The sequence below is a fragment of the Homo sapiens genome, chromosome 3, assembly GCF_000001405.40.
Source record: "Homo sapiens chromosome 3, GRCh38.p14 Primary Assembly".
In the NCBI taxonomy this organism is placed as follows: Eukaryota; Metazoa; Chordata; class Mammalia; order Primates; family Hominidae; genus Homo; species Homo sapiens.
In genome coordinates, this window is record NC_000003.12 from 97,361,061 (window position 1) to 97,376,027 (window position 14,967).

General features: G+C 33.2%; 1 protein-coding gene and 1 long non-coding RNA gene across 18 annotated transcripts in view; one reads left to right on the forward strand and one right to left on the reverse strand.

Annotated features, from left to right (window-relative positions):
• Positions 1–14,967, forward strand: part of EPHA6 (EPH receptor A6) — a 946,939-nt gene that overhangs the window by 546,467 nt on the left and 385,505 nt on the right. The window lies entirely within an intron of this gene.
• The window catches only part of LOC101929278 (uncharacterized), a 114,015-nt gene that overhangs the window by 59,992 nt on the left and 39,056 nt on the right, over positions 1–14,967 (reverse strand). For 4 of the 6 annotated variants that reach the window (XR_007095966.1, XR_924240.3, XR_924236.3 and 1 more), the window contains one exon: positions 3,864–3,928. The exons of 1 other annotated variant lie outside the window; for it this stretch is intronic. This is a non-coding gene — a long non-coding RNA (uncharacterized LOC101929278). The remainder of the gene's footprint in view (positions 1–3,863; positions 3,929–14,967) is intronic. One more of the 6 variants, XR_007095967.1, reaches the window with a different exon arrangement.

Below are 14,967 nucleotides of genomic sequence, written 5' to 3' on the forward strand. Positions count from 1 at the left end.
TCCAATGGAGATCAAGGATCGCTTTGTTTTCTACATCTACTAGGAGGCTCATTCTTTTTAGTGTAAACAACACAAAAATTTCATAGGCATGCATCATTTATAGCACAATCTAGGCAGCCGGCCTCATTAATGTGTACACCTAGAGTTGCTGTAACTATCAGTAAGAAACCGTGTTAATAAATAGCTTTGTTTATTTCACCTGCTAGGCTCTAATAGCATCCCCAAAGTAATCTTGATCTAACAGCTTGAGTCTTTTGCAAAAATGATCAAGTGATCAAGTCTTTTTAACACACAGATGTAAATTTCAGTGCTGTGCAGGATGCCAGGTTCAGGAACAGTTGCCATGAATAGCAACAGAAATTTAATATGAATCATACAGTTCGGCTTGCGTCTTAGTCTGTTTTCTGTTGCTTATAACATAATACCTGAAACTGGGCAATTTAAAAAGAATTTATTTCTTACAGTTATGGAGGTTGAAAAGTAGAAGGTCAAGGGGCCACAGTTCATGAGGGCATTCCTGCTGGTGGGACTCTGCAGAGTATCAAGGTAGTGCAGGGTGCCATGTGGCAAGAAGTTGAGCATGCTAGCTGGCATCTATCTTTTTATAAAGCCCCAGTCCCATGAAAACCCATTAATCCATCAACCCATTAATTAATTAATTCATTAATCTGTGAATGGATTAATCCCTTCATGAGGAAAGAGCTCTCATGACCCAATCACTTTTTAAAGGCCCTACTTCTCAATACTGCCACTTTGGGGATTAAATTTCAACATGAGTTTTGAAGGCAATAAACATTAAAACCATAGCAGCTTGAGTATACCCACTAACAGATTTTTAAGTCATTACACTATATCTAAAAGAAATGAGGCAGTGGACCTAAAGGAAATCAGAAAGTTTACCTAAAAACCTGTTTTTATTCATTCAGAAAATATTTCATGAAGATCTAAGATGCTCAGGTTATGTGAGCCACTGAAGAAAAAGTACTAAATAAGTTTGACATCATCTTTGCCTTCATGAAATGTATATTTTGGTAAAGGAGAAAAACAGCTAAGTACACAAACCACTTCATTATGACACAATAAAATACTTCAATGTGGAATGAGAGTGAGTAACTTGGAGATTTACATCTGTTTCTCATTTTCACAGAAGTCAATGGCCCTAAATAACTAATGATTGAGTTTAATAGAGATTAATATATATAATTTTGATATTCAGTATTGCCAATCAGCTTATTTATGAGCATGCGCACATGTGAATTATTTTACATTATGGTTCTGTGATAAAAATCACAATACATTATAGCTCAATCTTTATTATTAAAGATAAAACACCTCACATGCGATATTTAGAATTAAAATTTAGAAAATGAGAAAGTTAAGGTTTTCATAATATCTAATTATTTTACATTTATTATTTATTTATAAATTTAGCCTCTTTATACGTTAGGACAAATAGTAATTTAAGAATGTTATATGTATATGTTTATGGGCTACTGAGAGAAAGTGTAATTGTTATTATTTCAGGTTGTTTAATTTAATGTTGGAACCTTAATATATTGTGTTAATGTCATTTAGGTATACTTTGTTTCATGCTATTTTTTGAAAAAATACAGCAATAAGTACCCTGTGGGTTAATTGAATCCATAGTTGAGCATTTACACATTAATTAACTTGAAGGAAAGTCTATTGAAGTATGCAAACTACTGAGTCAAGGTGTCAATTTTATTTTTCTTTTAATCAGATGGTCCAATCTGTGAAAGTGTTTATGGTCCTAGTTAGTAAATTTATTTACTAGTTAATAAACTAGTTAGGAAGTTTATTAAGTGTATTAAGTTTATTAAGATTACTGCAATGCTCCTGACAAAAAGGAACAAAATCTGTTTGAAATGGAAGTAATTTAATTATTTATAGAATTTAAGAGTAATTTATTATTGTTATACTTTGCAGGTTTTGCTTTTTCTAGAAGTGTAATTTACTTAGTATAAGAGATAATGTGGAGGTGTTAATAAGGTTAAGAACTCTCTACACACAACAACAGTTCTTAAACACCACATGTAAGAGATTTTAATAGAAAACATCAAAAGCCATAATTATGCCACATTGCCCCTGCAATATATATATATATATATATATATATATATATATATATATATATATATATATATATATATATATATAAATCTCAGATGCTACAAAAACTAAAGTAAATTATTTCTACAGTTATATAAGTTTATGTATTAATTTTTTTTTCTAAAATCCTAACTAAGTTTTAAGCACCCATTTGAAATGCAGGCTTATGGGGCAACCACTGGCCTGCAAATTTGAGTACCAGGGTTAGACATCTCACAAATTCCCCCTGGTTTACTTATCTCATTATAAAAGAATTGGGTAGGTTAATAATTAACCTCAAGTCTCTTTTAGCAAATCAATGTTGCAATCCACAGTGGCATGCTAATTTGCTTTTTCATTTTTGAATTTTATGTATTTTACTGTTTAAAAAAGAACCTCTGAATTAGAAATGGAAAACAGTATGGCAACTCTTCAAAACATTAAAAATATAATTACCATATTATCTAGTAATTCCACTTCTAGATATATACCCAAAATAATTGAAAGCAGGGACTTGAATGGTTATTTGTGTACCAGTGTTTGTAACACCAATATTAACAGTAGCCAAAAGAAGGAAGCAACCCAAATGTCCATTAAAAGATGAATGGATAAACAAAGGTGGTATACACATACAATTGAAAAATATACATCCTTAAAACAGAAGGAAATTCTTACACATGCTATAACATAGATTATCCTTAAGGACAGGAGGCTAAGTGAACTAAGTCAGTCACGAAAGGAGAAAGGATGTATAATTCCACTTATATGATGTACCTAGAATAGTCAAATTCATAAAGACAGAAAGTAGAATAGTGGTTTGCAACGGCTGGGAGAGGACAAAATGGGGAGCTCCTGTTTAATGGGTATGAAGTATCAGTTTGGGAAGATGGAAAATGTTCTGGAGATAGATAACAGTGATGGCTACATAGTAGTATAAATGTCCTTAATGTTACTGAAGTGTATGCTTAAAAATAATTTAAACGGTACATTTATGTTGTTTATATTTTACCATGAAAAAAAGAGTTCTGAATTAGTGGGAAATTTTTGAGAAAAATTACGAGGACACAGAGAAAGCCAGAAGGGAGTCTAATTTTAGCAATTATTTTTTAAGGGGATTTTATGCTAATATGGTAGAACCTGTTAGTGTTACCCAAACCAATTTTTTGGAGTTTTAGTTTTTTTTTTTTTTTACATTTGACATAAACAGTAATTTTCTCCTCATTCTGTTATAAGTATTTCAGGAGACATCAAGAAAGCAGGGCAAATTTGAGGTATAGATAAAAATAAGGCAGACAAGTATTCTTTATGTAACACAGTTCCTTAGAATTATGTCACAGCTAGCAAAATTTCAAGGAAAAAAATCTAATCTTCATGATTAGAGTCATGTTTTAAAAGAGTATGCAAAACAGTTACAATATAAAAACATAATTTATTTCTATGCAACTCTGGAGACTTGAATTTAAATGAATATTAATTACCATAGTAACTGTAATTATTCGCCCTCAGCAAAATCAAAGGGAACAATTTCTAAAATAAAAAAGTCCTATTTAAATAATGTGTGATTTATTTTAGAATATGTTTGGAATTTACTTTTAAAAGTACATTTTTAAAACTTACTGATTTCTTAAAATTTAGAAAATTATTTTTTGGCAATAACTTGAAGAGATTAGTGAAGCACAAATTGAAGACTTAAACTTGAGGTGTCTAGGCCTTTTAAAACTATTGTAAGCAACTTTTCCATTCTAAAAACATACCTTCTCTCAGGTTGATTTAGGCTTTAAACAGAAGAGTCAAGATGTTTAAGTTCCAAAAGACTCTGCTGAATCCAAAGGAATAGGAGAATTGCATGTTAACAAAACACATTATCAATAACTTAGTAACTAGACCTGCTCTACTTGATATACAGAATGCAATCACGGAAAATGAAAGATGTAGATATATTCACCCTATAATGATTCAAAAGGCAAATGAATATCTCTTAAATTTTGTGTAAGAAGCTATTATCATAATCATATTCATTTAGAACTTCTACAGTACGATGTTGATTTTACTTAGATACATTTTTAAAGACTTTTAAAAAAAATTGGAATAAAGAGGTTTCAAAGAGATTAAAGCAGTAGATGAGCCTCGAGTTCTATAATATTCTATTTTATTTCTTCCAAATACTACCCTACAGACATCATTAGCAAAATGTTTAAAATATTATGACAGGAAAAATCATAAAGACTTTTTTTTTTTTGAGATGGGAGTCTCACTCTGTTGCCAGGCTGGAGTGCTATGGCGTGATCTCGGCTCACTGCACCCTCTGACTCCCTGGTTCAGGGGATTCTCCTACCTCAGCCTCCTGAGTAGCTGGCACACGCCACCACACCCAGCTAATTTTTGTATTTTTGTATTTTTAGTAGAGACGGAGTTTCACCATGTTGGCCAGGATGGTCTCGATCTCCTGACCTCGTGATCCACCTGCCTCGGCCTCCTAAAGTGCTGGGATTACAGGCGTCAGCCACCGTGCCCAGCCAGGACATTTTTATAGATTACAATTTTTTACTCATCTATTTGCGGTAAATGGACAAAAGCTCCATCTTTGTGATTTTCATGTAAACAATTCCTGACTGAATTTAAATGAAAGGTAACTTTAGGTTTGTTTCCTTGGTTAATTTTTTTCAGTTAGAACTAGTCTGTTTTGATCATCCCTAGGTTAAGGGGTTTGCTTTGGTTTTCAACAACTTTGCTTTGCAAGATGAAAAAGAATCTTACCCTTTGGGAGGAGTAAGATTCAGCCACTCAGTGGAGTAAAACTCTTAACTGCTACAATTCGGATTAAAAATTCATATTGCACCATCAAAATTTCTCTCTCACAACAGTTAGGGAAATATACTCACAATTAAGCAGACTATCTCTATATCAGCCTGAGAAAATTCTGTACGGTATTGTTGTTTTCGCTTATGTTGAGATACCACATAGATTTAAGGTCTTTCTAACTAAAGAAACCTACACATTGTGATTTATTGATCCTTTGTATTTCCCTCTAAATCTAGATATTCACATTTTTTCTGATTTTTTCGTATTCTGTGCAGTTTTACTTTCTTGTATACTAATAAAAGCAATATGTTGGGTGGAACACTTTAATTAATTAATTACTTCAGCAAATATTTATTCAGCATCTACTGTATATCAGGCAGCATTTGTGGTACTGACCACAATGCCCTAAGTCAATCCAGAAGGCAACGTTTAAAATTTTTCAGCTATGGAAGATTTAAGGTTGTAAAACCGTCTTTTAAAATTACATAATAGATTAGATCATTTCAGTAATTAACAGAAGTCCACTGTGGTCATATATACATGTGTGGAAATGCTACCTCTGAGTAGGTTTATTGTTAATACAGTCACTAATCTTAGACTAAATTAATAGCACATCACCATGGAACACACAATTACTGTTTTTTTTTTTCTCACTTCCCTGTGAAAAGAGGGGAAAGAACAAGGATAAGCAATAATCAGACATGATAGTGAGTAAAGCCAAGAAAAAGTGTATGTTTGGAAAACCTTAAAAAAACAAAGCAATTGATTATGATTATGTACTTATGTAGAATATACAAAACCTTGGATTGTAAGTCCAGAAACTTTGGTAAGTGCTACCTCTCGCCCTTGTTTGAAAACGGCATACCCTTAAATTCCTTTATTTCATTGAACTTCTTTTCTGTTCCTATGAAATGAAAGTAAGAAGAGCTGCATTTACTAAGCACTTACCACATGCCAGGAACTATTCTCAGCGCTTTACACGTATTGATTCATTGAATTCTCACAACACTGCAGGAGGAGATATTACCATCCTCTTATGACAGATGAAGAAATAGTGGTAAATAAATTAGGAACTTGTTCAAAGATATGTAGCTGATAAGGAAGGACTCTGAGATTTGAACTCAGTGTGTCTTACTCCAGGACCCATGTTCTTAAGCTGTCAGCGATTTTGTGAGGATACACATAAGATAAAAATAAAATAGCTTTGAAATCTATTGTGTTACATACACTACAGTAATACAGTATTATATTAATGTGTTAACGATTAATACTTTTTCCTTTTTTTATGTGAACCCATTTTTAAAGTAAATAGAGAATAAAGTAGCCCCCTACATCAGCTAAAACCAGGTCACATGCTCAACCCCGGCCTATTCTGCAGCCGTATTGGAGAGAAGCAAGGAGAGCAAGGTCCCAGTATCAATTTCCCTGGCTCACCTCCTGCGTGTTATTTCTGGCTGGTCGTGTCCCTGGGTGGCCGGTGACGGCTTCTTTCGAGGCAGCTTCTCTCTCTCACTCTTCTTTTGGTTTTTTGCCTAACTGCTTACTCCCTTCTCCTAAGTCCGAAGATGGTAACAGTTGTGTTGGGGGGTTGTTTTTATTTATTTTTTTTTTGTAGTTTTCTGTTTCTAGCTTGGAATAAGCCCTGTGGTTCCCCTACAACTTGCTCACACCTTCGTAACCTGCCCCTTTTATAAACTCTTCCTAAATTATCCCAATTTGAATATACTATTTCATATTTGTAACCCAATTGGTATGGTATACTTCCTCTTAGGAAGCATTTTGGGGAGTTTCAGGTTATATTACCAGGTTAATACAACTAGCCAGAATATCTATATTAAATAAAAAGAATAACAAACTATTCCAGTGAAAAGTTGGTCTCTACTTAAGACATATTGTCCTAAAAAAAGTCAATACATTTAAAATATAGAAGGCCAAAAATTAAAAGTAATATAGTCTGTATAACCACAAGCTGACTTCTTCTATCTTCCTTCCTTATGTAACATAACACTACTTTCATGCTTCTTAAATAATTCATTTGTACTTTCACAAGTTCAAGGTGCTGACTTCAAAGCTCAAAATTTACATGTTCTTTATTTGACAACATTACTGTATGTTGATAAACACTGAACCCATCTGGAATATTGCAAGCCTTTCCCTAATAATATTATAAAGAATTGAATGCCAGAAACTATCTTTTGTTCTGAGACAAATGTCAGTTAATCTTAACAGGAAAACCTTTTAATTTCTATGGTCTTAGTTGTGTTTTATTATTTGAGAAAAGAAAATATGCTAGTCTACACAGACATTAAAATGAGAGACTATGTCATTTCTTTTTCTCTTAAAAGGTATTATGTGAATAATTTTGAAACATATTTAGTTATTTATAAATATGATAAAGAAGTCAACAATACTTCATCGTGTATAAATTTATGGAATTTGAAAATATAAATGCTTATGCAAAAATAAATATAGCATTTTGTTTTCATGAACCATATTGCATAACTATTGATTTTCCTTATTAAAATACAAAATAGGTCAACCTATCTATCATAACAACCATATATATGAGTCAAAGCTAATAAAATATATTTATGGTACTTATATTTGCTACACTTATTTATCGAAGAATTTAACCTGTTTCAATGATGATATATCTTCAGAATGAATGAATTAATGAAATAACATTTAAAAGCCTTTTTGAAATTCCAAATTCACCCATTACCCTCTTTAAGAATCTCTAGACAGGCATGTAGGTAAGCATTTATTACTTCATTTATCCATTTATTATTTGTACATATAGGTATTAGGTGCTTATTATATGCCACGCACAGTCCCAGGTGCTTGTGACAATGATCACCACTATGCCCAAGTGTTGGAAACATAAGATAAAAAAGTATATAATGAATAAATAAAGTATTTACTCCTTGTGATTACTATTATAAGGAAAATAACCTGGTTGCTATGACATATAGGTTGACCTGTTTTGTATGCAAAGGTTAAAGAAAAAAGATCTGATATCTAAGTTTATTTCTGAAGAATGAGAATAAACCGGCCATATGAACAGCATTCCAAAAACGAGAAGAAACATGTGCAATGTCCCTGAGCTGGGAAAAGAGTTTTCCATGTCTTAACAGAGTACACTTGTAGTCAGACTACAGTGAATGATGGAACAAAGTGTCATGATATAACAATGAAATTTTGGGCTCCTGGAGGCCAGAACATGCAAGTAATAGATTTGGATTATATTTTAAGTTCTTTTTGGAAGACACTGAAAGTTTCAAATGGGAAGTTACATTAACTCTTTGGAGATGAGTCTAGCAGCTATATTAAGGGGTCAAGTGTGAAAGGACCAGTTACAAGTTCAGTCAAGATGGAAAGGTGGCTTGGACTGGAGTGGTGGCAGTGGACATATAGAAAAGTGGGTGGAGGCAGATGTATTTTGTTAGTAGACCTGACAGGATTTGTTGACAATGGCTTGAATATGTAGGGTTAAATAAAATGTAGGAGTCCTAGTTAATTCCAAATTTTCGACTTTAGCAACTGGGTAAATGGTTGTTCCAGATACTGGCGTGGGGAAAGCTGTGGGAGCCTCAGGGATGACTGGTTTGGTATGAGCTTCTTGCCTTTAACCTGAAATTGCTCTCATCTTGTTTTCCATTCCTTGCTCACGGGACTTCCCTTCTCTTATGTGATCCCTGAGTTTCACTGATTGATACAATGAAACAATTCATGGATGTAATATAATTTATCTGGCTTCTTTATAACATTTATATACTGATAATCAATATATGTCCTTCCTATATTTTGTATGTGGTAAATAATATCTAGACTTATAGCTCCAGTTATTTACCAAATTTAGGAGTATACTACTTTTATTATCAGCCTGCTAATATATAACAGCAATCTACCAGATACAAAAAAATCAAAGTTTTCAATCTTTTATTCTTTCCATAAAGATGGTAGCTTTTAAAAAGCAGAATTCTTATATAACATTTTAGTCCCTACAGAATAAGAAAAAACTTTTTTATTGATTTGGAATTTAAAGAAAAGCATTAATGTGATTGATCTACCTCTGCCCTACAATCTCCACCCTCTCTTCACGTTTTTAGCCATGCAGCATTTACAACTCGTATGGTAGCAAAATCAACTCAAATTGAGGTTTGGGTTTATAATTTACTACTTGTGATAACTGAATGGTTCACAAACAGAGACATTACTGCTTCCATTAATGGAGATGATTTGATTCTTCCAAGAGTAACTCATTTTCCTGAAAATTAGCACAAGAAGAAATAATAATTGCTTCTTCATTCATTCATTCATCTAGCATATAAGCATACTTACTATATGCCAACTGTAGAAATATAAATATAAATAAGGAAAGTCCTTGACCACAAAAAATTCTTGTATAACATGGAAAAAGTATGGCTCAACATGTTTGTGTGCTACTTTTTTCCCCACCTATAAATAGCACTACTATATTATGGAGATATCCAGCAAGTTAGCTGTGCTTTATAATATACACACCATGTCAGGTCAAAGTATATATGAGAGTGAATTTCAGGGTTCCTGTTAGACAATATTCATTAAATGTCAAATAATAACAGTATTAGATTAAAAACTATTGAATCTAAAGGAAAAGAGGAAAACATGTAGTGGCTATAATATATTTAAGGTTTTTTATTTTATTCTATTTTATTGGCTTTAACATGACATGCCCAATTTCATACAGGATGACAAATGAACATTTTCTAGCACCTAATCTGTGCTAAGCTTTGTACTATGTGAATTATAAGTGTTATTTGACTTATATCTTTAAAACAATATTATAGGGCTGCAATTATTATAATCACCATTTTTTCAAAGGAGAATCTAAAGTTCAAAGAGGTGGGAATAAGATTAAGAGTTTTTGCAGGATGATGTAGCTAATGAGAGGTAGAGCTGGGATGTGAGGCAAGAATGTCTGGCTCCAGTCTATTATCAATCTTCTGACTTATTTCTTCTCTTGAGTACTTGTTGATTTCTGGGCTCATAAGGAGTGGGAGATGAAGAGCCTGGTCCTATCTGCACTGAATTTTGCTGTAGCTAAATATGTTTAATTAGTGCAAGAAGATCCACTTTTTTTTTTTTTTGAGGGATTCATTGTTCCTAAAGCTTTTTCGTTACCAATACAAAATTCAGCATGGCATTTTAGGTAATATGTTTTATGCTAAAATTACAATAGATGCAAGCTTTATGTTTTTAAATTTACTTCTTAAAGGTAAGTATATAGACAAAGATGTTGAGAAAGTCAACGCTCATTCATTGTTGGGGTGTTACGGGAAGTCAGGGACCCTGAACAGAGGGACTGGCTGAAGCCATGGCAGAAGAACATAAATTGTGAAGATTTCATGGACATTTATTAGTTCCCCAAATTAATACTTTTATAATTTCTTACACCTGTCTTTACTGCAATCTCTGAACATAAATTGTGAAGATTTCATGGACACTTATCACCTCCCCAATCAATACCCTTGTGATTTCCTATGCCTGCTTTACTTTAATCTCTTAATCCCATCATCTTCATAAGCTCAGGAAGAATGTCGCCTCAGGACGCTGTGATGATTGCGTTAACTGCACAAATTGTTTAAACAATATGAAATCTGGGCACCTTGAAAAAAGAACAGGATAACAGCAATGTTCAAGGAACAAGGGAGATAACCTTAAAGTCTGGCTGCCTGTGGGCCAGGCGGAACAGAGCCATATTTCTCTCCTTTCAAAAGCAAATAGGAGAAATATTGCTGAATTCTTTTTCTCAGTAAGGAACAGCCCTGAGAAAGAGAATGCATGCCTAGGGGTAGGCCTCTAAAGTGGCTGCTCTGGGGACGTCTGTCTTTTACCGTCGTACATAAGGGATGAAATAAGTCCCGGTCTCCCATAGTGCTCCCAGGCTTATTAGGATGAGGAAATTCCCACCTAATAAATTTTGGTCAGAACGGTTGTCTGCTCTCAAACGCTCTCTCCTGATAAGATGTTATCAATGACAATGTGTGTCCGAAACTTCATTAGCAATTTTAATTTTGCCCCGGTCCTGTGATCTCGCCCTGCCTTCATTTACCTTGTAATATCTTATTACCTTGTGAAGCATGTGATCTCTGTGACCCACACCCTATTCGTACACTCCCTCCCCTTTTGAAAATCACTAATAAAAACTTGGTTTTACGGCTTGGGGGGCATCACAGAACCTGCCAACATGTGATGTCTCCCCCGGACACCCAGGTTTAAAATTTTTCTCTTTTGTACCTTTTCCCTTTATTTCTTAGACTGGCTGACACTTAGGGAAAATAGAAAAGGACCCAAGTGAAATGTTGGGGGCTGAATTTGCCTGGATATTGGGGAGCATGTCAATTTGTACAGTCCCTTTGGTGAGCAAGTTAATACGAAGATGTGCATATCCTTCATGCCATCCATCAGTTCTACTTTCAGATTCATACTTTAAACAAATTCCCACATGTGGCTAAGGAGATGTGGACAGAAATGGTCAAGGCAGTATTGGTCTTAATAGCAATAATTTGAAAATGACCTACAAATTATTTACATTTTTTATAGGAATATGTAAACAACCTCTGTTATTGCCATGCAATAAAATATTATACAGCAGTTAAAATGAATGAACCAGATGTGCATGCATTAACACAGGTACATTTGGGAATTTAGAAGTGTAGCTTTGAAGTAAAGACATAATATACATAATATAATCCATTTTAAGTTTAAAAACACTTCAAGCAATGCTAAACTACATAATACAATATATATTATGTTATTACATATCATATATAACATGCATTGTTTAAGTGATCTATCTGTACACTGTTAGCAAACGTAGCTGGACTCCAGGTAAATGGTTAATTTGGGAATAAAAAACGAGATAATTTGATCAAGGAGGTTACAAAAGGGACTCTTTCCTGAAAAGTTTGTGTTTTAATTACACAAAATCAGATGCAAACCAAATTCTTCAAATGGTCCCACTTGTTAAAAGTAGGTGATGATGTATGGATGTCCATTACATTATTGTGCTTTTCTGTTTGTGTATGAAATTTCATAATAAACAGAAGGATGGTACTTGAAATTCTTTTCTTGGCAATATTTTTGTGATTTATATTATCAAACAAATTTGCTTCTCTATTTTTTGTTAGTAATTCCTATTTATGAATTGCAACTTTGGAATGAAAAGTATATTCACAATCCCTCCTAAAAATGTATGTTTTATATGAAGCAACTGTAATAAAATTAGGTACAAACATTTTGGATGAGATACAGTTTTCCATTTCTGTTCGTTTTGTAATTTTTAAAATTATCATGTATATGATCTCACATTTCTGAAATTCAGCCTTACGATGGCAGCTTAGTCATGAAATCACAATCACAATAGTCTGTAAGAATAAGCTGGTGGTATTCCTCTTTTCCACTGAGTCAAGTGGTTGAAAATGTCTAAGTTTCTAGCTACTGTGATTACATTCAATTCTTTGCTAATAAGAAAAGTAAGTCACTTTAAAAGATAAGGTAAGATTAGAATATTATTCCACAGTCATTTACTTTTGAAGTCAGAAAATTGATGCAAGAATGGCTTGTTATTTGAATTCATCAGCCATAAAGTCAGTAACTTTCAGCCTTTTAGGAAGTAGTGTCAGTAATAAGAAATACTGCTTTTGAGATATTACAGTGTGATTTGAAAGAGAGAGGTGATCATTTTTAAAGAAAATATATGATTCTGAGCTTATCTTTTATTGCTATCTTGCTTTATATTACTAAGAATTCATACATTGTAGTAAAATTTTAAAGTCCTGAACTATCTCATTCTATTCCCTTGTGCAATATAAATTTTTTCCCTTCAAAAATTTCATTTGGTTTGATATGTAAAATTGTTGAAAAATAGTTTATATGAAGCCCTTGCTGGATATATAATTCTTATAACAAAAGAAAGTTCTACTTTAAAAAGGTGGTCTTTTGCTTTTGATCTATGACTTTTGTTTCTCACTAGAAGCAAAACTTTTCAAAGCTTTTTCAGAAACCAAAATATGTTCTCCAATTTTATTTTTCTTAGGAAAATAACAGTTATCTGAACTCCTGTTTCTATCAGTACTTCCTATATTAGAATATAGCCTATTGTATATTTTAAGCAACTAAAGTATAAGTTAAGGCAAAGCTCCAAACTTCATATACCTCTCCACACCTATTTCTAAATTAATTTCTACTTTCAGCTGCCCACATCCACAGTTGCTATCCTAACTTCCCTAATCAGCCAGACTCAAAACTTTTACTCTCCTACCCTTTTGCTTCTGTCATCTTTAACACTCACACCCTTTTACCTACTAATCATGAATCAGTTGCCAAATTACCATCTTGTTTTGGTACCTCTTATGATCATTCTTCCCTAGGCCCCGGTGGACTACAGCCTTGGTTACTGCACTAATCTTAATATTCTCCATGATGTCATTCTCTCTTCATCTTGACAAGCCACCTTACACATTAATATCCTTTTTTAGTTTTCATTTTAGATTCAGAGAGTACTTGTGTAGGTTTGTTATAAGGGTATATTGCATAATGCTAAGGTTTAGGGTATGATTGAACCTGTCACCCAGGCAGTCAGCGTCACCCAGGTAGTGAGCACAGTACTCAATAGGTAGTTTTTCAACCCTTGTCCTGCCGCTCGCTCATCCTTATATTAGTCCCATAGTCCCCAATGTCTATTATTCCCATCTTTATGCCCATGTGTATCCAGTTTAGCTTCTACTTATAAAAAAGAATAAAATTATGTCCTTTACAACAACACAGATGCAGCTGGAGGCCATTATCCTAAACAGAAAACCAGATACCACATTACTACTTTTTTACCAAATTTTTCACTACCAGATTTAAATATTTTTCCTATCCTTTAATGATATATACAATTTCTGGTTGGGGTTTGAAGAATTTTCATGGTTTGAGTCAACACTTATTAGACCTAATGCTTTTATAGGATAAATATTTATTGAAAACCTACTATGTGTCCAGCGCATGCTAGCACTGGGTACACAAAATTAACAAGGCAAAAATGGTTCTTAGTGTGCTACGTTCTTTAGTCACTATTTTTTCCTATTTCTCCACAAATTAAAGGTTCTCTGTCATTCCCCAGCACAAAACCTGCCAGCTCATGAAGTTTAGAAAACAGAACTATGTTTTCTACATACACTGGTCATCCTATTACAAAGGGCTTTCTTTCTCTCCTTGCAAAATAAAAGGGAAGGGTGTTTTCAGAAACAGTTGTCTTAATCATGAAAAACACTCCCTCCTACTTCTGTTGTGTCTAATATTAGTCTCTTTCACATCACTGAGAAAATACCAGGAAGAAGAATTTCATAAATTCCACAATTATTAGTGTTTTAAACTCTGTAACTAAATGGTAATTTTACCACATTCTCTTCTTACCAAGGCTAGATGGGGAAAGGGACTGAGATGGCAAAAGCTATTGAGCATTATTTATTTTCAGTTATATTGTATAAAGTGACATCTTAATTTTATTTATTTATGCCACAGACAAATTAATCAATTTTTTTCTAACTATAAAAAGGAGACTTAAGAACATAGTTTATGAAGAAAAACGGTCAGTGCATATCCTTGGCAATATAGCTCAGCTTAATTTTTTGAGGAAAATGTATATATCATGTAAATAAATAAAACTGTCTTGAATATTTGAATCCTTACTACAGATATAACATTAATGCTTGAAAATATTAATAATGGAATACTACTCAGCAACTAAAAGGAACTAATGACTAATACATGCCCCAACATGGATGAATACCAGTTTATTAGGCTGAAAGAAAAAGCCCATGAAAAAAGGACTACACACTCTATGATTCATTTATATAGAATTCTAGAAAATACAAACTAACCTATAGTGAAAGAAAGCATGTATGGGGACAGTGGTGGAGGAGGAATGGATTACAAATGGGACAAGCCTAATATTTTGCAGGAATACAAATATCCAGTATCTTGAGTACAAGATGATTTCACAGATGAAAACCTTTATGAAAGATC